Source organism: Homo sapiens, chromosome 2 (genome assembly GCF_000001405.40).
Source record: "Homo sapiens chromosome 2, GRCh38.p14 Primary Assembly".
NCBI classification, from domain to species: domain Eukaryota; kingdom Metazoa; phylum Chordata; class Mammalia; order Primates; family Hominidae; genus Homo; species Homo sapiens.
Window position 1 is genome coordinate 143543539 of NC_000002.12, and position 23340 is coordinate 143566878.

General features: G+C 35.4%; 1 protein-coding gene across 11 annotated transcripts in view; it reads left to right on the plus strand.

The window, feature by feature from the left end:
- ARHGAP15 (Rho GTPase activating protein 15) overlaps positions 1 to 23340 on the plus strand; it is a 638934-nt gene that overhangs the window by 414120 nt on the left and 201474 nt on the right. For all 11 annotated transcript variants that reach the window (XR_007078554.1, NM_018460.4, XM_017004500.3 and 8 more), the window contains one exon: positions 12870 to 12947. Coding sequence is in view for 10 of the 11 variants with exons in the window: in NM_018460.4 (NP_060930.3) it covers positions 12870 to 12947 (78 nt within the window). In the remaining variant the exon portion in view is untranslated. The remainder of the gene's footprint in view (positions 1 to 12869; positions 12948 to 23340) is intronic.

Below are 23340 nucleotides of genomic sequence, written 5' to 3' on the forward strand. Positions count from 1 at the left end.
AGAAGCTTCCTAGTTTGATGTAATCTCATTTGTCTATTTTTTGGCACATGTTAGTTTAATATATTTTCTTTCCATGACAATAGATCAGAAAGAAATGAGAGATATTAAATATATATATATAAATATGTATGTGTATATATATGCAAATACCCAGATATTTCCACAAGTCTTTCAATGTAGATCTATGTGACAAAATCCCCCAGAAGCTGAAAATCTGGTTTGTATTACACTAGTGCTAGATGAGTTTAAATAAGGGAACAACTGTTATTGGAATGCCTTTTTTTAAGTCAACAAAGTGTTTTGAGTAACCAGAGGGTGCATACTTCTTTGTTAGATGGTTAACAGCCCTTATGTAGTACAGAATGAAGCTGAGAAGTTAGGTCTCTCCTAGACCACTAGAGGAAGGCTAATCTTTCTACTTTATATTGTGATCATAGGAAGTCAGAAAGCCAACTTTATTGCTACCTCTTGTCTTTTGCTTATACATTTCTTTTTGTACGAGTCCCAAAATCACAAAAGCCAATGGTATAAATTGTCCAGGGAAAGGTAGAGCTTCTAAGTAGGGAAGATGTTTTTGTCTTTTCAGCTCTATTCCAGATACCTTATATTTCTGTCTCCAAATCTGGATGTGATTTCCCCAATAAGAAATAGTTTATGAAATACTTAATTTTGAGATTTCTACTGTGTGTCCCATGAAGATTTTGAACCTCATTTTAAGAGTCTTAAACCATCTTTCAGCTAAATTAGAGATACAAAATACAGCATTCAAGGATACAGAATAGATTTATGATAGTCTCCAAACATTTTTCAAGTGGATCTGTGGGGACATAAACTCATAAGTATATATTATCAAATAATTTCAATCTGTGTCATAATGTTTTCATAATAAATGTCATTAATATTTGTTCACAAGAGTAATATATATGTATATACTACACACATGTGTATATATGTATATGTATATAAACACATAAAATAGTTGGGAAATATGTAAAACGATTTAAAAACAGAATCATTTTTATAATCCACCTCACAGAGAATATATGTTCTCACATTTTAGTGCGTGTTATGGCTCTATAACATCTGGAAATGTGTGTACCACATTTGTTACTGTATCCCCAATGCCTAGCACACTTTTGCTACATAGTAAGTACCTACACAATATCTGTCAAATTGCCTGGAGAGTTGGAATTCACCAATTCAAGGGCCACAGAATATCTTAGAATTGATCTGTTCTTCCATTTAATCACAGTTTAACACAGGTCCATCTGCCAAGCAGGAAGGAACATGACCTAGTCCCACCTCTCTGTGGAGCAGAAGTATTAGTAATATCCACTACGCAGTTTCTCCTGTACTCTCAAAAAGAAAACAGTCATCCTATTTGTGTTTCCTGAGAATAGGAAGCTCAAATGTCTCAGCTTCATCCACTGTCATGGTTAGGAGCACCTTCTTCTTTGCCTGGGAAAGAGGCTAGTGACACTATAATTTCTCAGAAGTTTCGAAAGGCAGCAATAAGCTGAAAAGAACCATTTTGTCTGTGATCTAAATAGGACTTTGCTGATGGTTAGTATACTCAAATGGGTTTGTAGAATATTTTGTCTTGGTGCCTGGAATTTGCTTTTACGAACTCACTTGAGAGGCAGCGGCCAGGGAAGAGCTCTCTCTCACCTGAATGCTTAGCAGAGGCAAGCCATCAAAACCTTCCAGGAAGTGGCAAGCCAAAGGGTCTGAATTGGAGGCACCTCCCCAAAGATCAAAAGTTATGCTCCACCAACACAGAGACACTGAGAAATGGTTGAATGTGTTCTAAATTAAACTGCCCTGGTGGTGAGCAGAGATCTGCCAAAATCTTTCAATTAATCACTTTTACCTTCAGGGCAGAGTTAGGCCTGAGAGTATTTCAATAGATTTTTATTGGAACAGAGTTATTTCAGATATTAAACTATGTTGCACAAAGTAAAAATAATGTTATTTTTTAAGTTGCTACTCTTGTTAAATAAAAGTTGGCAAGCGTTCTCGGGGTCTGTATTGTGTCTGTGTATTTGTGAATGTGTGTGGCTTTTTCTTGTGCCATAATCCCCATTGATTTTTAAAAAGTGAACAGCAATGAACTAGGTGATAAATATATTTATATAATATTTTCATTAATAATGTGTTATAAATAATAGAAGAAAGGTTTTAAGTATATAATTCGCTACATCACAATTGGGATTTTTTTTTCCTACGTCTTCAGCAGTAAGTTAATTAGAATCACCTGCATTTCCTTGGGTGGACACCAAATGGATTGCAAACAAAAACAGATTAAAATAGCTGCTGGAGCTCATGGCATACAGATGACAAGATTCACAAAAAGGACAATGAGGCACTGAAAATGTTCGCTTTTCAAACAATTCTAGAGGAAATTTAGCTCTCGCGACTTCTCTGTAAAAGCTGCCTGTAAGTGTTTTGCTGAAAGGCTAGAACAGCTTTGTTTCTGATCCCTTGATGAGTGAGAGAAATGTTTAAGAAAGATCACTTTACAGAGAGATTCAGGCTGAAATGTGATGACTGTGATTCAAGCCAAGCCAAAAATTACAGTTCAGAATGAAAGGGGAGGGACGTGGTTTGGGAATCCATTTTCCCACATTCCTGAATCTCAATCATCCCAGCCAATGTTTAGAAAAAAATCCAATGGAAAACAATGAGGTCACTTTGTTTAGATGTTAAAAAAAATACGGGTGGAGGGATTGAAAAGAATGATGGCAAATATATGAATTTTAAATCAGTATCTATTTCAAGTATGATGGGATCAAAGGCTACACTTTATATAACTCTTATGACTTCATCCCAAAAGGATCCATTTTTCAGTTTTCTTCTTTGTGTTGGTGAGCCTTTTATTGTGTTTCTTTAATTTATGAAATAGTCTCTTGCTAAAATTAAAAAAAAAAGTGTATGTAGGCACAGAGTACAGATTACTCCTCCTGAGACTCCAAGCTTTCCTTAGGAATAGCATCTCCAGGAATCTGGTTTTCTTTCTTTAAACCTGCTGTGGCCACCCCACTGCTGTGTAGATCTCAGGTTATGCTGGTGTATTGGCTTGCAAACTACCAGATGATAATGGCAGACCAAATTAGATTCATTGTTCTTGTTACCTCTATTTGTTTTAATGAAACACACTAAGCAAGTCATACTACCAAATGAATGATTTATTTACATCAGCATGATCACAGCGTAACAGTAGAACTACAACATAAAAGAAACTCAGAGAATAATATGAGATAAACCAAATATAACCTCCAACTTCAATATCTTCCAGATACACTAAGTTTTTCTTCAAGGCAACAGCTCTCACTTAATGATAACCAGAATCATTGACCAAAATTTGTCTTCAAGACTAAGATTTTTTTAAAAAAAAGAAGATGTAAGATTTGTCAATGACTGTTTATAGGTACCTTGTTTCCCAATCTCCAGAAATCATTTCAATTCATCATCTTTGGTCTGATCAGACCACTGATGCTAGGTTCTTTTCTAGAGAAATTTCTCAAGCAAACTCAGAATCTTGCTGAGATCTTTCTTATCTTCAGAGATTTCCAAATGATCCTAAGGCTGGCATATATCTGTAAGTCACATTTATGTCTACTATCCTACAGGCTTCATGCAGTTAGGCCTCAAATTCTTAGCTGAGCTTAGAGAGATATGTAAGAATGAATGTGCAGAAAATAAGACACAAATAGGACACTATTGTTCCACTATTGTTTCATGTTAACCAGGTATTAAGGTACATAAATGGCTTATCAATCTATATCACATTAGCCACACTGGAACTTTTTCCCCTTGTCTTTTCCCTGGTTGATTACCATTTGGTAATCCTTAAGTTAAAAGGAATCATTTTAAAGGTGGGAATTAAATTAGATGTATAGAGGCTATATACACAAACAAGCCTGATCCATAAAGAATCACAGCAAATGGAAACCAGGAAATAATATTTTTGAAAGTATACTACTGCCTATACTTCCGGATTCCAAAGGTATAGATAAGCATCTCCAATTATAAAAAAAAAAAATTGGTTAGATATTGTGGCAAGAACTAAGTATAAATATAAGGGAAAATTCTAATAATGAGGCAAGACAGTGGTTTTACTCCTGTATCCAAATTGAGGAGGGATGACTTTTTTTTTTTTTTTGTAACATTTGAAGAAGTCAGTGAGATTTTCTTCTACTTATTGAAATGTCTGATATCCTACTTAACATGAATGAAGGAGATGAAGAAACTAGGAAAGTAATGCAATAAATTGTTTTCCAAGACTGAATCCAATCCTGTGTCTCTATACAAGAATACCTGATAATAGTAAAAAGCAAGATAGCCAATCACTCTCCTCCCACACGTCTCCCTACCATCCCCCCACCCACAATCCCCAAACTCTATTGTCACTGAACTTTTCAAGGCATAAATGATACAATGTAGAACCACTAAGAAAACCAAACCAGTAACACACTTAACATTCAGGGTATTTAGTTCTTTTCCTCACCCAATTTTGATGCTGAAGCAATGTAACAACACCTGTCTTCCCTGGTGTCCAAATAAGACGAGGTTTGTTAAGAGCTCAGGACTGGGCAGAAGAGCAAATAGGACCAATATTAATGATAAATATTTTTGCAAGAAAACAATCTTATTTCCTCATATTAACAAATTGAAGTAACAGGGGCAAAAGAAGGAAGTGGGAGTGAAGCATTTGAAAATGATCCCAATTGCCCAAGTGTTCAAAGAAAAGTCCTTGAAAAGCATTCTCCTTTCTGATTCAAGAGTCTATTTGATATCACCTTCTTCTTAGTATATATGTATATACATATACATATATATTCCTTTATTATGTGCTCTTTCGAGGTATTTAATTTAAATCTGGAATTTGCCCCTAGCTCAGACACTGGCTATATAAACAATTTTAAATAATTGCTCATTTTTTAGTATCATAGGTTCTAAGCCATTTTCTTAGAAACGAAAAAAAAAAATCCTTCTCTTAGTGACCTCTTTTTAGTCTAACATTAAAGAAAAATTACAACAAATATTTATCTCTTCCATGTCTTAAGAGAATAAAAATTCTTATTTTCCATATGAATCCCCTACAAATACCTGGGAAATTAAATACATTTTTTTCAGAAATGAATAATCAAAAATGAGCCAATAAAATCTAGATAATGATGATAACCAAAAGCAAACAAAATAATAAAGGAAAAATTGAAGGTATTTTGTTATGACATTAAAAAGAAAAACTTGTTGCAATAATTGTGTCTATGAAGCAAGCATTTCATAGCAGAAATATGAGGAAGGTAGAACAAAAAACCAAAATGAGATAAAAATTGAAAAGAAAAGGCTCACGAAAGAAATGGAAGAGAAAACTAAAACAACTTCAGGTAATAAAAGGAGAATTGAAAAATGCATAAATGATAGTAGGAATTTCTATAAACACAGAAAAGGACAAGAGTAAGAAACATGAAATGAGAGATGTACTGAAACCCTGTATCAACCTATACTTCCAACATTAGAATTGGAATCACGTAACAACTGTTTTAAATATTCATAGTTTAATCCCTCACCATTTATTTCCCATGTACCAATAATGAAAATAATATAATAGTATCTTCCCAAACTAATGAAACTTCTGTTTTCAGTTTTTAAAGTTCTTTTTTATGAAAAACAATGTAGGCCTCACATTCAAGTTGGCAGTCTCAAAAAAGCATGTCTGATTCTCTTTCCTCAAAAAAATCCCAATGAAATAATAGAAAATATGTGTTTTAAAAACAAAAAAATGGATAATGGTGCTGAAAACAGAAAAGGTGCCATCAGCAGATGAGAAATAGAAATTCCAGGAAGAGAGGAAGCAGATGGGATCAAACAAATAGAGAAATGAAAGCAGGAGAAACACCATTCCCAGACACCACAATTAGGCACAGTTCTTTCCAGGGGTGTCCCAGAGAATAACCAAACTTGGAGTCAACAAACAAAAAGAACAGAAATTGTCAAGAGGGCAGTAAAGAAAGTAATTCATTAAATAACAGGATCTAACAGCTGTGAGAACTGGGCTCCTCTTTCTTTATCCTGCACCAAGGAAGCACCTACAGCAGGTGCTTGAGCCTGAGAGCAATTTCTGTAAGGACGGAAAAGTTGCTGGCATCTGAGAAAGAAGACAGTGGAGAAGAAAGTGTCTCAGGTCTTCTCCAACAGAATTAGATATACCTTTGCCCAGGTGAAAAATTGGTAAATTTCTCTATATCCCAAGTTAAGTCTTCCTTACTTTGATAACTGGGGAGAACCCCTGGCCTATTGTCTACTCACCACCCATTTATCCTGCGAGACACTCCAACACACCATTCTCATTTAAGATTGGACAAGTTGTGGGGAGGGAGAGAGTTGGACACATACAGAGGTACCCATGACCACTGTTTAATCAGTCTCAATCATAAGGGTAATCCAATATTTGATAATCCATCTTAAATAAATTCTAGAGAAGAGAGATAATAGAGGGAAAACAATATTGAGCAAATAATATAAGAAAATGTTTTCCAAATGAAAAGGCCCAGATGGGGAGCACATATGAGTGACATTTTACTGCTATAAGTTTAAAGAGAAATTTTTTTTTAATCCAAGAGCAAAAGCAATTTACCTGCAAAGTGTCAAGAATCAATCTGACATCAGACTTAACAGCAGGGATGCTAGAAGATAATGGAACATATATTTTTCAAAGTTAGAAAAGTAAAAGATTATGAAACTGAAATAAATACTCAAGTCAACAATCAATTAGGAAGCAAAAGAAAACAGTCAGATGGGTAAAGTAAGAAAAATTACCGATCACATACTTTTATGAATCAAGAAACTTCTTAAACTTCAATCCAAGAAAGAATAACAACGGAATACAAGAGAAGGAGGGTAGTTGATGCTGACCTAGAGCCGCATTGTCTAAAATGGTCATCACCAGCCACGTGTGGTTAAGCTACTCAAAGCTGAATAAAATAAAATTAAGTCCCTCAGTTGTATTAACCACGTTTCAAGTGGTTAATAATCTCTGTAGCCAGTCATATGTGGCCAGTGAATGCTGGTTTGGACAGCAAAGACATAGAACATTTCTATCATTGCAGAAACTTCTGTTGGGCAGCACTTAATCTGAGGAAATGAAGAAACCTAGAAAGGAGGAAGAGGACAAGTTAAGTCTTAACTTTTGGGAGCTCTCCTTTGTGAAACTAAATTTTAATGTTAAACCCCAACATGTTCCCTTTTTAAAAAATAGTGGCTATTATTAACCCATAGATAAGTCTCAAAATAGTTATAAAAAACAAAATGTCCCAAATTTTAAGAATATAAACAAACGCATAAAGAATAAAACTGGGAAGGGAAGTGGTAGAGAGAAGTAAGAGTAAATATACTGCTTTGTTTTCCATAGCTCAGAGATAATTTGATATGCTAAGATATAGAAATAGGCAAATTAACTCAATGAAGAGAAAGAGGGTGTACAGATAAGTGGTAGGAACTACGAATGCACTAAGCTCTTTATCTTTTCTGAGAAATCAATAAATACCATTCAAAGTTAATAAATTAATAAACAGAAATATGACATATTAACATTAACAAAAAGAATGAAAATAGAACTTTTCTTTTCGAGACAGGGCCTCACTCTGTCCACCCAGGCTGGAGTGCAATGCTGTGATCAAGGCTCACTACAGCCTCAACTTCCTGGGCTCAAGTGATTCTCCTACCTCAGCCTCCTGAGTAGCTGGGACCACAGGCATGCGCCACCATGCCAGGCTAATTTTTAAATTTTGGCGGGGGGAAGATAGGTTTCACTATGTTGCCCAGGCTGTTCTTGGATTCCTGGGCTCAAGTGATTCTCCTGCCTTGGCCTCCCAAAGTGCTGGGATTGTTGGTGTGAGCCACTGAACCTGGCCTAAAATAGAACTGTTAACAATAACTGTCTTTGGAAAGCATGTTGGGGCAGCTACTGTACTTAGTTCTGATTGTATATTGTTCTGTATGGTTCAATTTTGTATTTTTTATTGTTTTTTTAACCATGGAAATATAGCAAAAAAAACTATATATTTTTAGAATGGTTTTTATGAAGTCATATAGTTATCCTATAGAATAAAATGATTCTTGTTTGAAAATCAAAATTGTGCCAGCTATTTCCTAAGGGAATCATTCTTAGGAAATAGCAAGGCTATTGAAGGATGGGTGTCTCATAAGAAATTAACAATAATTAAATTAAAATGGCAGATAGGTACAAAATCAACACCACTGAGTTGGAAGAGAGATTAGAATTTTAAATTATATCCTGTACTCTCAGTCATCGAATTTAAAGTGTGTGAACAAATAAGCTAGCAAGAAAATGTTGGAAACACTCATTTCAACTTAGAGGAGGAGGCATAGGTCTGAATGGCACCAGAGCTTCTCATGTTTAGCTCAGAACCCAAGTAGAAATTTGGAAGGACCGAGACAGAAACGTGCAGCGTTGAGGACAACCTGAGTGTTCCCGTGCTCAAAGATTTTCGCCGGAGGGAGAAGCCAGAAGTTCAAAGTATTGCGAGAATGGCACTTCTTGTGGTAGCTCTGGCCTCCTAGGAATTAGGAAGTGCCATAAATCTCAGGAGAGGGACTGTTTGTGCAAAATTCCCAGCCCACATTTGCAGACTGTAGAGGTTCAGATGCATTTTGTTATGGGTTAGAAAAACAAGCAGGCTTTCAGGACACACCACTCAACCAGGCTCAAACTCCACATCTGCATGGTTTGTCCATCATTCGGGCTACCAAAAATGCTACCTAAACCAGTTTTCAACTATTTTTAACAGACTCATCTGCATTGTCAAAAACTGTCCATATTTTGGCAGATAAGCCAGTCAAATCTGGTCTTAGATTTCTTTTTGCAAAGTGTCTAAGATTTATGGTGGGAATTACTCATAACAGCTGCATTCTTTCCACTGGGCTTAGACCACCATTTGGTCTAATAACTCCTAATTGTGTGTCTATCCCAGTCTAAGCTTCTTCAGGAGAAAAAAAAGTCGGGGTGGGGAGGCAGGGGAAGACTTTTAAAAATCCCCTACAGCAATACCCAGTGATTTCTGCCAACAGTAAACACTATTTTGAAATATAAGAAGGTCAGCTGATGATGAACGAATAAACAATATTTCAGTGAATGTGGATTTCTTCAGATAATTTTTCATACTACCATTAATGCCACTCTTATTTAAAAATAAAAAATAAAATGACTTAGTTTTATCGTGTTCCCAAAGTATTTTTAGCATAACAGGCAAAAATCCTGTCAGCATTTACGGTCATGTTACTTTCTTGAAAGAGGTACCTCTCAAAGCGATTTTTCACCAACCTTCTCCAAAGCACAAAAGAGGTACCTTGAAGACGTTGGTCATTTAAAAATCATACGACGTCTAATTATATTTCCAAAATAAGTAGTTTGCAATCCAGCAAGGATAATGTGGTCATGAAAAGGATGTCCAAATCCACCAATTTACATTGGTTTGGTTTGGCATAACTTTCAAAGTTCTTGGAGTAAAAGGAGGATGGCACGTGAATAATTGTAATTTGGGTAATAGTCCTAGAACTTTGGGTTTGCTGTTCTGTGAGCCATTCAGGGGAAAGCAAATCAACTCCAAGACTGTACCTATATAATTTATAACTGTTAAAATTCACTGATATGTTCCAGATTATTTTGCAAAATGTAATACCCTCCTTTTTAATATGTACTTTGTCATTTTCACTCTATTTATGTAATTTAAAAAGTATGATAGCCGGAGAGCATGAGCCATTCAAAGCAGGAGCCGCTAATGTCAGAGATCATTATCACTCACAAGATATATAGTGTTGGTATCTTTGAATCTAAAGGGCTTGGAAGTTGTGTCAAGATAGATTCATATTGCATCTAATATGTTTTGCTTTACTCCCTTTTACTTTCTGGTTTCTGTCTCCAGCCACAGAGCAGTTTCTCTGCTGTGACTCAGGTCTACAACCACAGCGGTAGCACAGGTCTGATTTACCCTCCCTGTCTCCACCAGCTGTGCTCCCTCCTTTTATGCCAAAAGAAAGTTGTGTTATTACTTTAGGATGAGGCTGCTTTCTTTAAACAGTATACTGCTTTCCAATTGTTTATATGTGATATGTCCAATCCATACTACTTTTTCAAATGGTTTTGATTACTGGACTTAAAAAATTGTTTACAGAAATTTATGAAAGACCAAGGAAAGCACTTCTTATATTGTAACACTCTAAGAGAAAAAAGAAGTTTTGGATACAGGGAATTTCATCAGTTAAAAACCAGTTTACAATTCTATGCATTTCAATAGCATATAGAATAATATTTGAAAAGGAAGAGTGCTAACTTCAAAATCAAGACATGCACTTGATTTTACACCTTGTATAAATGAATATGCATATTAAAATGATGATTAAGTAAGGCCCTTATTTGCAATTAAATTTTGAAATCCAAATAATTTCATTTATAATAGACCTCTGATAAGGGTCTAGCTAATTAGCAAAACAAAATTTTTAAAAACACACAATGTTCTCATTTTTATTGTAATAGATATTCACATTTTATCTTTAATCACTGTAAATAGGACTAATTTGATTGATTTTTTAAAAAATTAGAATTTCTCTTTTAGAGAACATAGACCCACATATTCCATTGATGTTTCTATTTTCTAAAATAATTATTATTCTCTAAATTCCTTAAAATCAATTGATAATCCATGGGAAAATAATCAGGGCCACATTCATTTGATCAAACTTTGTTTGTTTGTGGTGGCAAGCATCAAGGTGACTTTATTCACCACTCATGGTTCTGATGCCATTTGTCTGCTTCCAAATCCAAAACTCTCTCCAAAACCCCCAAGCATGCCATTATGAACATTTTTCTGTAAACATTTCAGGGCCTCTGAGGGTGATTTTAGAGAAGAATTTTAAAATAATTTCCTCAGTAGCTATATGCTCAAAAAAATTAAGAGGGAAAACTTTGAGAAGGACACACTTGAATGTACAATTTTTAATATTTTTAAATCTATCACGTTATTTAAAATTTCATAGGTTAAAACTAAGTACCAAACAGCATCTAATGACAAAGGAAAAAAAGAAAATGATAAGTTTTTTGTAAATTAATTTTTTAACATTCTGGGTGTAAGTGCATGAACTTAAGACCAAAATAGACCAATACTAAAAGTAGGAATTAAATATTAGAAAAATTTTAATTAGGACTATTATCACATTTAAGCTGTCAAGCAGAAATTGTACTTTAAAACAAACAAACCAGAGTAGACTTAGATTAATGGAGGTAATTTGTGCATCACGAAGAAAAAATATATTGATTTTTACAAATATATGTGTCTTAGAAACTTTCACCACTGGCTAACTGGTGTCCAGCTTCACCCAATTCCTCACAATTTATAGTTCTCAGGAAGAGACAGAGTCTCAGTAATTTCTTAGATTATTCTAGAACTATAAAGTCACATCAATTAATACATTTGTTAATAGCTATTCCATTTTATTGCAATTATCTCAAGTAACCCTAAAGTTTATTACATGGAAGAGTAAAAACTATAGTGAATGATTGTCTTAAATTATGCCATTATTACCAATGTTATAAGTGATGTTATTCTACCCTAACCTTCCAATGCAATATTTTGCACAATGGCAGAAGTGTTCCTAATACAAAGTGTGTAAAATGGTAAAGCAATAAATGAGCTCATTTTATGCCAGTAAAGTGCTTTGGGAAGTCTTTATTCTGTTACACTATGGCAATAATTTCTACCAATCTATTTAATACTGTTGTGAATTACAATGATTATCCATGATGCTATACCACCTCCCTAGAGAAACTGCTAAGACCTCTGCATCTGCTGGCAATCTCAGCTAGTCCTGAGTGCCCAGACACATCAAAGAATATACATTCTTGACATTAAAATTATGTTTTCAGCATTTTTAGATACTATTATAGTGTTTGACTAAGTGTTTCCCTTTTCGTTTTCCTGTTTCTTCATTGTCCTCGTAACGTGGCCAAGAAATTAACTAGATTCTATAAATAGATGTGTGGAAAACAAGTGAATGATTATTGAAATTCACTGCCAGGATAAGTTATTTTGAATTACAGATGACCAGTTCTAAAATAATCTGAAACTCATTTTACCATTTCGCTAAAGATTTTTTAAATTTTTCTCTCCATAATGGAGCACCTCATTACCTATAATACACTAGAAATTATCAAACTAGCATTATATCTAGAATAGAATTTTTACTCTTTAGTTTCAAATAATCAGATCAAAATATGTTATTCTGTAACAATCACAGGAAAACAAGAATAGAATAGAATAGAATAGAATAGAATAGAATAGAATAGAATAGAATAGAATAGAATAGAATAGAACAGAGTAGAAATGGAGAGAAGAAAAAGAGCTGAGAAGAGGAGAGGAAGGAAAGAAGAGAGACAGAAAGGCAGGAAGACAGTAAGTCAGGCCAGTAGCAAATGTCTTACAAATGTCTCGAGTTATTTTACCTTGCAGAAAAAAGGCAATAATACACAAACGTCTGGAGGTTTCCCCCCTACCCAGTTGGATTCCTATATTTTCCTTGTAAATGAACCTTAAATATATGATGTAATCCTATTCTACCCACTGCTCTTTTTGCCTCAATTAGACCCAAATTTATTGATGATAATTTTAATTAAGACTGAACACCATGATTACTTTGAGATTAAAATTTTGAAGATTGCATAATTTAGAACACACAAATTGGTTTTATCTGAGAAGAATAGATATTTGATTTACTCCTTCTTTTCATAGATTTTTTTTAAACCATCTCAATTCCTATATGTGCTAATATAAAATATGCCCTTTTGTCTTCAGGTCTAGATGTTGATGGAATATATCGAGTTAGTGGCAATCTGGCAACAATACAGAAGTTAAGATTTATTGTCAACCAAGGTAAGTGATTTCCACTTCAGAGATTTTTTCAAACAGTTTCATATGGAACAATATTTCATACACTGTGCTGTATGTACTGTGAATAATAATAAAACTTTAACAGGAGAATGTGAAAGTGGAAGAAATTTAAAAATTATCAGAAAAGTAAAAGATAACCAACTAGTTTATCTAGAAAAGAATAGCATATACAGATAAACAAATTAATAGTCTATGTGAAATAAATAATGAATGGAACATGTCAAAATAAAAATGGGGGAAAGAATAGAAAAAGAGTAAAAGAAAAATGACCCAGATTCAAAAAATGTTATTGGCTTATAATGGACACTTACTATATGTTGATGAATGAAAGAATGAATGATGGAAAATGTAAAAGTCAAAATAACAGATAATAGAAAAATATATAGTAGGTAAGAAAAAAATTAGGAAACGCATATGCCATCAAAGAGTTGTAAATTAAAACAATGAGATACCACTACACACCTGTTAGAATGGCTAAAATACTGACAACACCAAATGCTGGCCAAGATGTGGAGCAACAGGAACTCTCATTCATTGCTGGCGGAAGTGCGAAATGATTGAGTCACTTTGGAAGAAAATTTGGCAGTTTCTTATGAAAATAAATGTATTTTTATTGTATGATCCAGTACTTCTTGGTACTAACCCAAATGAGTTAAAAACTCATGTACACACAAAAACCTATACACAAATATTTACGGCAGCTTTTTTCATAATTGGCAAAGCTAGAATGCAACTAAGATGTCCTTCAATAGGTGCAAGGACAAATACACCAGAATACATCCATATAATGGAATATTATTCAGGGATGAAAAGAAATGAGCTTTCAAGCCATGAAAAGACTTAGAGTAATCTAAATGCATATGCTGAGTAAAACAAGCCAGTGTGAAAAGGTATGATTCCAACAATATACTGGGAAAAGGAAAACTAGAGAGAGTAAAAGATGAGTGGAAGCAGTAGGACGAGCTTGGGGGAAAGAGGGAGAGATGAATAGGTGAGCACAGGGGATTTTGAGGGCAAACAATTCTGTATGATGCTGTAATTACCCATACATGTCATTACACATTTGTCAAAACCCATAAAATGCAACACAAAGAGTGAATCCTCATGTAAATTATAATATTTAGTTAATAATAATGTATTGATATTGGCTTATCAATTATAACAATCTACCCCATTAATGCAAGATGCTATTAATAGGGAAAATTTTGGGAAGAGTGAGGAGATACATGTTAACTCTCTGTACTTTCTGCTCAATTATTCTGTAAACTTAACACTGCTCTAAAAGAAGTCTATTAATTCGAAAAGTAAAAATAAGAAATTAGAAAATGAAAAACAAGAAGACCAACACATCTTAAGTTGGTGTTATAGACAGCTCATAGGTTTTAAAATCATACAGATGGGGTAGAACTTAGACTCTCTCCTTGTATCCTTGGCATCTTAACCTCCCTGTGCCTCTGTTTCCTATCAGGAAAAACAGTAGGGGGATGCCTTGGAAACATTTGGGAAAATTAAACTGGGTAGCATCTATGACACTTAGGAATGTGACAGACTCATGTTAGTTTTCCTTTTACTTAAAAACAGTCAAAAGTGTCTTCAGAAGAACTCCAAATCCTTGTACTCTAGCTTCCCACTTAGCTTCTATAATAGCTGGCTTCAGGTCCTCTGAATGTTTTTCATAATACATTTAACATATAAACTGTACTCCCACATTTACATACTGTTGTGTTTTTTAATGTCTTTGCACATGCTCTTCCCTTTACTTTCAATATCCTCCTATCTTTTCCTTCCCATCCCACATACACAAGCTTCCAGCCTGGTAGATTTCTTCTTTTTCTTCAAGGCCCAGATTATAGCAATTTCATTCAATAAGCCTCCAGTCAGATTTCTTCTCTGTTCCCCTTACTCTGAGTAGCTGAATTTACAGTAGTACATTCACATCTAACTTTTAAAATTCCATCTATTATAAGACCCATAGATTTAATGCCAACTTTTGGAAAGGATATAATCAAATGTACTCGGTGATTGTATTTCAGAAACATTAAAATTTGTAAGTCTTGGAATCAAAAAATAGGATACTGGCTGAAATGTCTGTCTCTTTCACAAATCTCTAAAAAGGTAGGACTTGAATCATCCTTGTATCTTTTCCCATTAACCAGTTCTAGCCTTGGTGTTTCCATACAAGGAGTTCCTCATACAGGGAGTTTTTAATTAATATTTGTTGAACAATGTGTGTGGGTGTTGCAGGTAAGAGAAGTATTAAAACTGGAAAGCATTCAACTCTCCAGCAATTCAACTTGGGTTGAACCAGTTTTTTAAATGTTGATTGCAATACTTTTGGCCACTTGCCACATGACTCTTGTTTCTAAGAATCTCTATAACTGAGAATCTCTACAGCTCTGCTTGTTCACTAATGCAATTCTTTGTCTTTCACAATTACTCTCTTTCCTGGGCAAAACACAGAACTAAACTTTACCTCATTCATTTATATTATTTCCATTTAACTGAATCAGCGTACCCCCTCTGTGGGTAAAATATGGATAAAATAGCCCTAGCCTCATATTCATTCTAGCTTATAACCAGCTAAAATCATTCTTACAATATAGTTTATGCTGAAACGATATCCTGATTGGGATTCTAGACAGCTGGGCAACACATTTCTTCTACAAAGAAGAAATCTCAAAACAGAAGCCATGCTAGAAACAAACACTAGTTGCATTTCCTGCCTTTAAAAAAACTATGCTCAGCAGTTTGAAAAGGCAAAGAAAAAAATCTGCAATGAAAATATGAAATCTGTCCATCTCGTCTTTTGCAATCCAAACTTCAGCGTCCTCTGAGGCTATGTAACTGCTCATGTTTCCATGAGAATTGACAATGTAAGGCTGGACAGAGGCCTGAGTTGGTATCTGGTAGCACAGAATTGTCAGTAAACTGTCTCCCTGGTTTATAGCACTGTCAGAATGCAACATACTCAACACAAATTATGCTACATTAGGACCTTTGATACTGGTAACTTTGTCCAAGTTGTGTTATGGAGTTTTCTGAATTAGATGATAAGTGAAATGCATATACCAACCCCTTTCAAAATTTGCTAATCAGATTATCCTTTGAATGCGTTTTCTGGACTGGCCCCACAACCTTGTTGCTAATGCCATACCTTCCCCTCCATCTGGACCAGGACTCTAATAGTAGAGCTGACTTGAAAATAATCAGTGCTGGGTGCAAAGAGATTGTAAGTGTACATGTGGCCCTCTGTGGCCCTCTCTCTGTGTGTCTAATACAATAAACTGGCAATGCAGGGAAAATTCCATGAAAAGCATAAAGTGCTATGTAAAGGCAGTGCATCATTTTTGCAGTCTAAGCTGAAACATAAATGATTTTTGCATACCTGCCTTGTATTAACATATTTTATTCCTTCTTTATTCACCTTGCACATGTTTATTTTCTAGAAGGCTCTAAATATACATTTTTAAACAAGTAAGCCCTGCCCACTGTTAGACTAGACAAATAAAAACTGATTTTTGAGATTTTCAAGACAGATGAATTGCAATTTATGTATTTCACTAACTTTCTTGAATGCTATAATCATCAGCAATTCTAAATACACCAGTTGAATGACTCAATTTGTTTTGGTTTTCTATTTGACTTACTAAATCAGTGGGAATTAGATACCCTTATTATACTTCCAGTTCAGATGACATGCAAGTTATATTCAAAGTGTTCACTTTTGAAAAGCATTTCCTAATTATAACTAGTAATGATGATAATAGTAATTATTATCATAAAAGTAAGCAGCATTTTCATAATTTATTATGTGCCAGGCACTGTACTAAGCACTTTATTTACATAATTTAATCTAATCCTTTCTTACATCCCATAGAGTAGGCACTATTATTATTCCCATTTTACAGATGTAAAAACTGAGGTTCAGATAGTAAATAATGTCCTAATGTCATACAGCATATAAGTGAAGGAGCTAAGACTAGATCCCAGATCTGTCTGACTCAGAGCCTATGCTGCAAACCACTGCCATTATTCTGCATTTCCAATTCATCAGCTGTTGATTATCTCTTTATAAAAGCAGAGATTAGTCTTTTCATGCTACACACGCTCATTCATGACTTTCCTTTACACCCCGCCTCTTGGTGTTGGTAACTGATGAGTACTACCGTTGGAGTTTTGCTAAAATTGTTCAAGAGCTATTTGGAGAAACGCCAAACATCACAGTTAGGAAGAAGCCTGGCATTGCCATTCTCTGTATGGCTTTATGTATCTATGTTTGGCCCAAGAAACTACTTTAACACGCTATTCTGTTGCAGCCTTTGGGAAAGGGATCGAGGATTCTCGATTTACTAGGCTGTTGGTGCGTTTGTGAGCAGCGCTCTGCCCTGTTTGTTGAATTTGGTGACAGCTTTCAGTGACATTTTGCTGATACAGCTCTTCTGCTTTGTGAAGGCATCCCCAAAGAAAACTGGTCCATGACCTTAGATGTCAACCTGTCATCAGCCTGCGACATTGCGTTGATTCTTCAGAATGATCTGTGACCTCCTTACACTTTTCTTGCATGGGGGGTACTTTGCAAATGACAGACTTCAGCATGGAGGATGCTGCATGTCTTGAGAACTTTTGACAGAAAGTCTTGGAAATTCCCCTAGGCTAAACTCCCCCTCCTTCCCACATTGATACTTGGGTTTGAGCTGCCCATCTATGCCTTAGGCTTATTGCCCAAACTACAAATTCAGTTCAGACTCACTTGGTATTATTTAGACATCCTCTTTCACCCTTTGAAAAAGGGACAAGAGAGATTGGCATTCTTTTTGGAAAAATCTAGCTATGAACCTTCCCAAGCCCATGAGCCAATGGGAGAGCTATGAAGCATTGCCGGAAGAACTGACTGGGAATTTTCCAGATGGGTGTCTGTTAGTACACAGTTACAAATATTCTCTCTGTTTTCCTGAACTGAAGAAAATTACTTCTTACCAGGATTTTAGACATGTTTTTCTTTTTTCTTTTTCTTTTTTTTTTTTTTGAGACGGAGTCTCGGTCGGTCTGTCACCCAGCCTGGAGTGCAGTGGTGTGATCTCGGCTCACTGCAACCTCCACCTCCCGGGTTCAAGCGATTTTCCTGCCTCAGCCACCTGAGTAGCTGGGATTACAGGTGCCCGCCACCAAGCTCGGCTAATATTTGTATTTTTAGTAGAGACAAGGTTTCACCATGTCTCAAACTCCTGACCTCAAGTGATCTGCCCACTTCGGCCTTCCAAAGTGCTGGGATTACAGAGTAAGCCACTGCGCCCGGCCGACATGTTTTTCATTTATAGAAACAAAATTTGAAGAAAAACTGTTAAGGACAACCTTCTCTACTTGTGCAAACAAGGAGGAACAAAATATACAAATGCTATAAATCTACATGATCAAGAATCTTGTTTGTGTGTTTGTGAGCACACACACGCATGTGCATTTGTTTTAAATGAGAGGATTTTTTTCATTAATTTATGGTCTCGTAGATATCTTTATCTACCCAGATTTTATTGGCATAATAATCCAAATTAGATATTGGCTTAAAGAGATGGATGTGCTTAGTTTAAACATGCTAAGAATAAGCTCCATTAAAAACAAACTATTAGAAAAACAATTTTGTTTTTATCAACTGTACCTAAACTACTTTAATATAGATTTGTACCTTAAAGCAAAGCCAAGCATTAACTTTAGTAGCTATCCCTGTGCTTTTCATATTATTTGCAGCATCAAAAATTGAATAAAAGAAAGAGAAAGTGAGAAAGAATGTGAACAATTGGCAGTTTCATCATGAAATAAGCAATTGGATGAAACAGAAAAAGATCTGAAAAAGGATTTCAAATTTCTGTTCTTATAAAATAGCCCTTGTATCAAGTCCATTCATTTTTCTATTAAATAAGTTTATATTGCCCTCTTATTATTTTTAAAACGAGGTATTTCCTTAAGCCTGCTCTACTCTCACCGCCAATCACAGCAACAACGAAACAAACTCTGTTATTCGCTTTATTCCATTCCACAGGGTGGTTTTTTGGTAAGTTGAATCATTGATATTGCACCTTTTTGGCTTTCATGTGACAAGATTATCTTTTAACAATGATTTATTTTTCCCATTAAAGTTGAAAAGATCACTTGATCATAAAAGAGCCAGACTCTAACATCATTCAGGGCTTTGGAAACTTTCTTAGACCTCATTTTTCAGCTACATTGAGTCAGGGAGCTCAAAGACTATTGATGAAGCATGTATTGTTTTCTAGCTGCTTAAGAAAATGTATTGGCATTAGTAAATAATGCTGAACACAGAGGTCAAAAGAGTAAGTTATTCATGTTCATGCACATTTAGTTTCTGATTTTTACATTATAGTCCAAAAATAAGTTTATGAATCCTGACAGTCTCCAAGACACACAAATCCTGGCTACTTATTTTAAAGCAAAACTATACCACACATTTACCGTGGATTGTATTTTCTAATTCATTATGTACCAACCAATAATGAACTGACCTAATGCTGTTGTGAAATAAAGGCAGAAGGCATCTAATGGGGAAAAGCACCAGATAAATGTTGAAGGATCGACCTCTTTATCTTGATTCTGAACTATTTGGAAGCCTAATAGAAATTATTTTAACCCCTTTAAATCACCAACTCTTCATTTCCAAAATGGGAAAAATAATGGAAATGTGAGGACTTTAAAAAGTGAATCAGCCAGGGGATAGTTATTATTAACTTTAATTAAGATGACAAGTAGATAGATGAAATCAAATCACTATTGCATTTTCTTGGTAATAGCATGATACCAAATATTTATAATCAAATATGGTTTTTGCCTTCTACATGATTGAATTTTCCTTGATGATAATTGGAAGAAAAAACAAATAAAACTTTGGAAACTCTTTACTATCCAGTGTTTGAAATCATTACTAGCCAAATTCATAGGCCTTCTGAATTCTTGGACACAAAAAAGAAAATTTCATGTTGTCAGTATGGTTTGGGAATATTCTAAATTGCAAAGAATAGCTTCATGTTCATTGGAGAAGGGGAGCGAAGTCTACTGAAATTTAAAGTATTAATTCGGTTGTAGCTTTTCCATATAGACTTGACTACTGAGTCTGGAAATTAAATTAGTCAGAGTTATGTAACTACTAATCCCCAAGAAAAACCCCTAAGATATTTACAAAATTCCATCATGATCATCACCATCATCATCATCACAAATCATTGCCATAACCATCAAAATTAATAAGTAGTTATTAAAAGCTTCATAGGAAAACACACCATGCTTGCTTCTGCTCTAACAACACTGTAGCACTGGTTCCCGGCCTTGACTGCATATCAGAATTGTACTGCATATCTCCTGCTGCCTAACCATATTACTGCCAACTTAGCTACCTAAAGCAATACAAATTTATTATCTCACAGTTTCTGTGGGTCAGAAGTCTGGGCACAGCTTAGCTGAATCCTCTGCAAGGCTGCAAAATCAAGGTGTCAGCCATAGGCGGGTTCTCATCTAGAGGCTCAACTGAGGATAGGTCTGCTTCCAGGTTCACATAGTCATTGGCAGGATTGAGTTCCTTGTGGGTTGTTGGACTGAAGGCCTCAATCCATCATTGGTTGTTGGCCAAAAGCCTTGTGGACCATCTTACAGCATGGCAGCTGCCCTCATCAAAGCAGCAAGGGAGAGACAGATTATTAGTACAGCAGAAGTTTTAATCCCATGTAACATAATCATGAAGGTTACATCCAATCACCTTTGCTACCTACTGTTGGTTAGAAGCAAGTCACAGTTCCCACCTTACATCCTAGGGGAGGGGACTACACAAGGTATAAACACAAGAAAGGGGGGATAATTAGGGGTCATCTTAGAACCTGACTGCCATAAGAATCTAGTGGTAGAGCTTTTCAAAAATAAATATTTTTGAAGCTCATTCATTAAAAAATCCAATGTAAGAAGTCTGCAGTTTGAGCTATAAGTAAGTGTTTTAAAAGAAAAACTCCCCAGATAAGTAAAGTGCATAGCCAGGTTTGGAAACTCCCTGCACAATGGAAGCTAGTTTTATTCTGGCTCTCTGGTGGAGACATGACTTACCAAGACATAACATATACAAGATTTGCATTTGAAAAAAGGGGAAATAGACCATGAATGCCTGTTTCGATAACTAGTTTTCTAGTGAGGGGAAGTCTTCTCTTTGGCTATTGATTAATGTAATAATGTTCAAAAACTTTTATGAACTGCTTCATTATATAACTAAAAACTACCATGGATATATTATGTATGTTAGTATGATTAAAATTACGCATTTTACCATAACAATCCTTTTCCAATGTTGTGAGTTCTGAAATAAATGAAAATAAAAGGTGCTTTACCTAATCATTTGCTAACGAAACTAAGGGGTAAATAATATGAAAAATGTAATACATTTATATCATTGCTGATAATAGGAGCATTTAATTGAGAATCTACTACATGACAGGTACACAAAGTTAGAGGAATCTCTGACCCTCATAAAAGTTTTCGAGGTAGATAAACTTTATTATCCACATTCTTCACATAGGAAATCATACTTAAGAAAAATTAAATAACTCTTAGGCCACAAAATTAATACAGTATTGAAGGCAGGAGGTGAATCTATTTTAAACTTACTCCCAAAAATATATTGCCTGGTAGCTGGATTCAATTTACCATGGGGAAGGGGGCAGAGAGATGTTATCTTCTTTTTAACATTAAGGAATCCCAAATCACTTATTCTCATTATAGTACTATATTTTCCAGGTGTTCAGCCTATGGGACCCTCTATAAGAAAAAAACATCAATTTTAAATTACCCTTTTAATAAATAACCCCCAAATGCTTTGGGGATTATAAGAGTAGGAAACTTGATTCATTTTTGAATCTCCAGCATGGCAAAGTGCCTGCCACTTTGAATGTATGAAATTAAGGTTTGATTCTACAAAATAAGAGAATGATGAACATCTTATACAAACCAACTCTATATAAAATAACTTCATTGGTACATTATGTTAGGTTCCATTTTCTCAGCAAAGAAAACTCAAGCTATATTTTACATTATATTTTCTCCCAGATGCCTATAAGTTAGCACTTAATTTTAGACTGGATAAAAGAAATGAATAGTGAAGGATCCCATATCCCCATTTTCTGTCTCAACAAAACAAAGCTTGAGGCGAGATAACTTACTGTCCCTCAACATGGTATCTTGTTAGTAATTGAACATGTCAGTCATGATATTGGAAATAGTGGTATAACTTGGCATGCCATCTTAGTCCTCCAAAATGTTGGAAATACTTAGGGTTGGATAAATAGCAATGAAGTCATACTGCTCTTGCTAACCCCCAGGCCCTGAATTTTGAAAGCATGTCTTTTGTTTTTGTTTTCACACAAGGATCCCTGTTGCTGGTAATTACAGCTTTAGTGACTCACATATATTTATATAGCACCTCTTTTCCAAGGTGCCCCATGTACTTTGGAAACATTTCCTAACAAAAGTGTGCTGTAGAAAAAAAGTATTCTCATCTCCTTAAAGCTGTTCCTGAAAAGGAAAGTAACAGTTGCAGAGATGGGAAGAAATTTTTTTTCAGGTCCCCAAGCACAACGTGAAAATAAATATTCAAAGTTAACAAATGCAGGGCTAAAGCAAGATTCAAACTAAGGTCTGAATGACTTAGAACCACACAGATTCTATTATGCCCTTATGTGTATGGACCCACTGGAGAGGTGGTGGAAGATAGCCTTATCTGCTTCTTGCTTCACTGAGGGTCCCAGCACAGCAGGATTAATATGGAAGGGAGAGATGAGCTCCATAAAATAAGATTTTGGCTTTTACAGCATTCATTTGACAGATGCTTAAAGAGCTCCCACTAGATGCCAGGCAGTATGTGGGACACCGGAAGTACAGCAGTGACTAGGACAAGTGACCTTTCCATTCACATGGAGCCTCCATGTGCATGGACATTGCAATCTATCAGCTAAGAACCCTGGTGATGGGTTCAATGTGAATTAGTGGGAAAATACTAGGATCTGCAGGCATCCCAGGTCTGCTCCCTCCTCTCTCTCTGACCTCACTGTGTAGCTCTCTTCCGTCCTCATTATTTTCCAACCACCACGGCTTCCTTTCTTTCTCAGATTCATCAAGCTCATCCTCTTCCTGGGGCTTTTGCATTTGCTCCTGTCTACTGGAAATGAGTTTCCAGCAGATCCCCACAAGATGCCCCCCTTTCCACAGTCAGGTCACCTTCTCAGGAAGCCCTTTCCTGAATAATTCGTCTGAGACATGCCTTCACTGTACCCACCCAGCCACTACCTTTCCCAGTATCGTGTTTTCCTTTCTTCAGAGCACATGCTATCTAAAA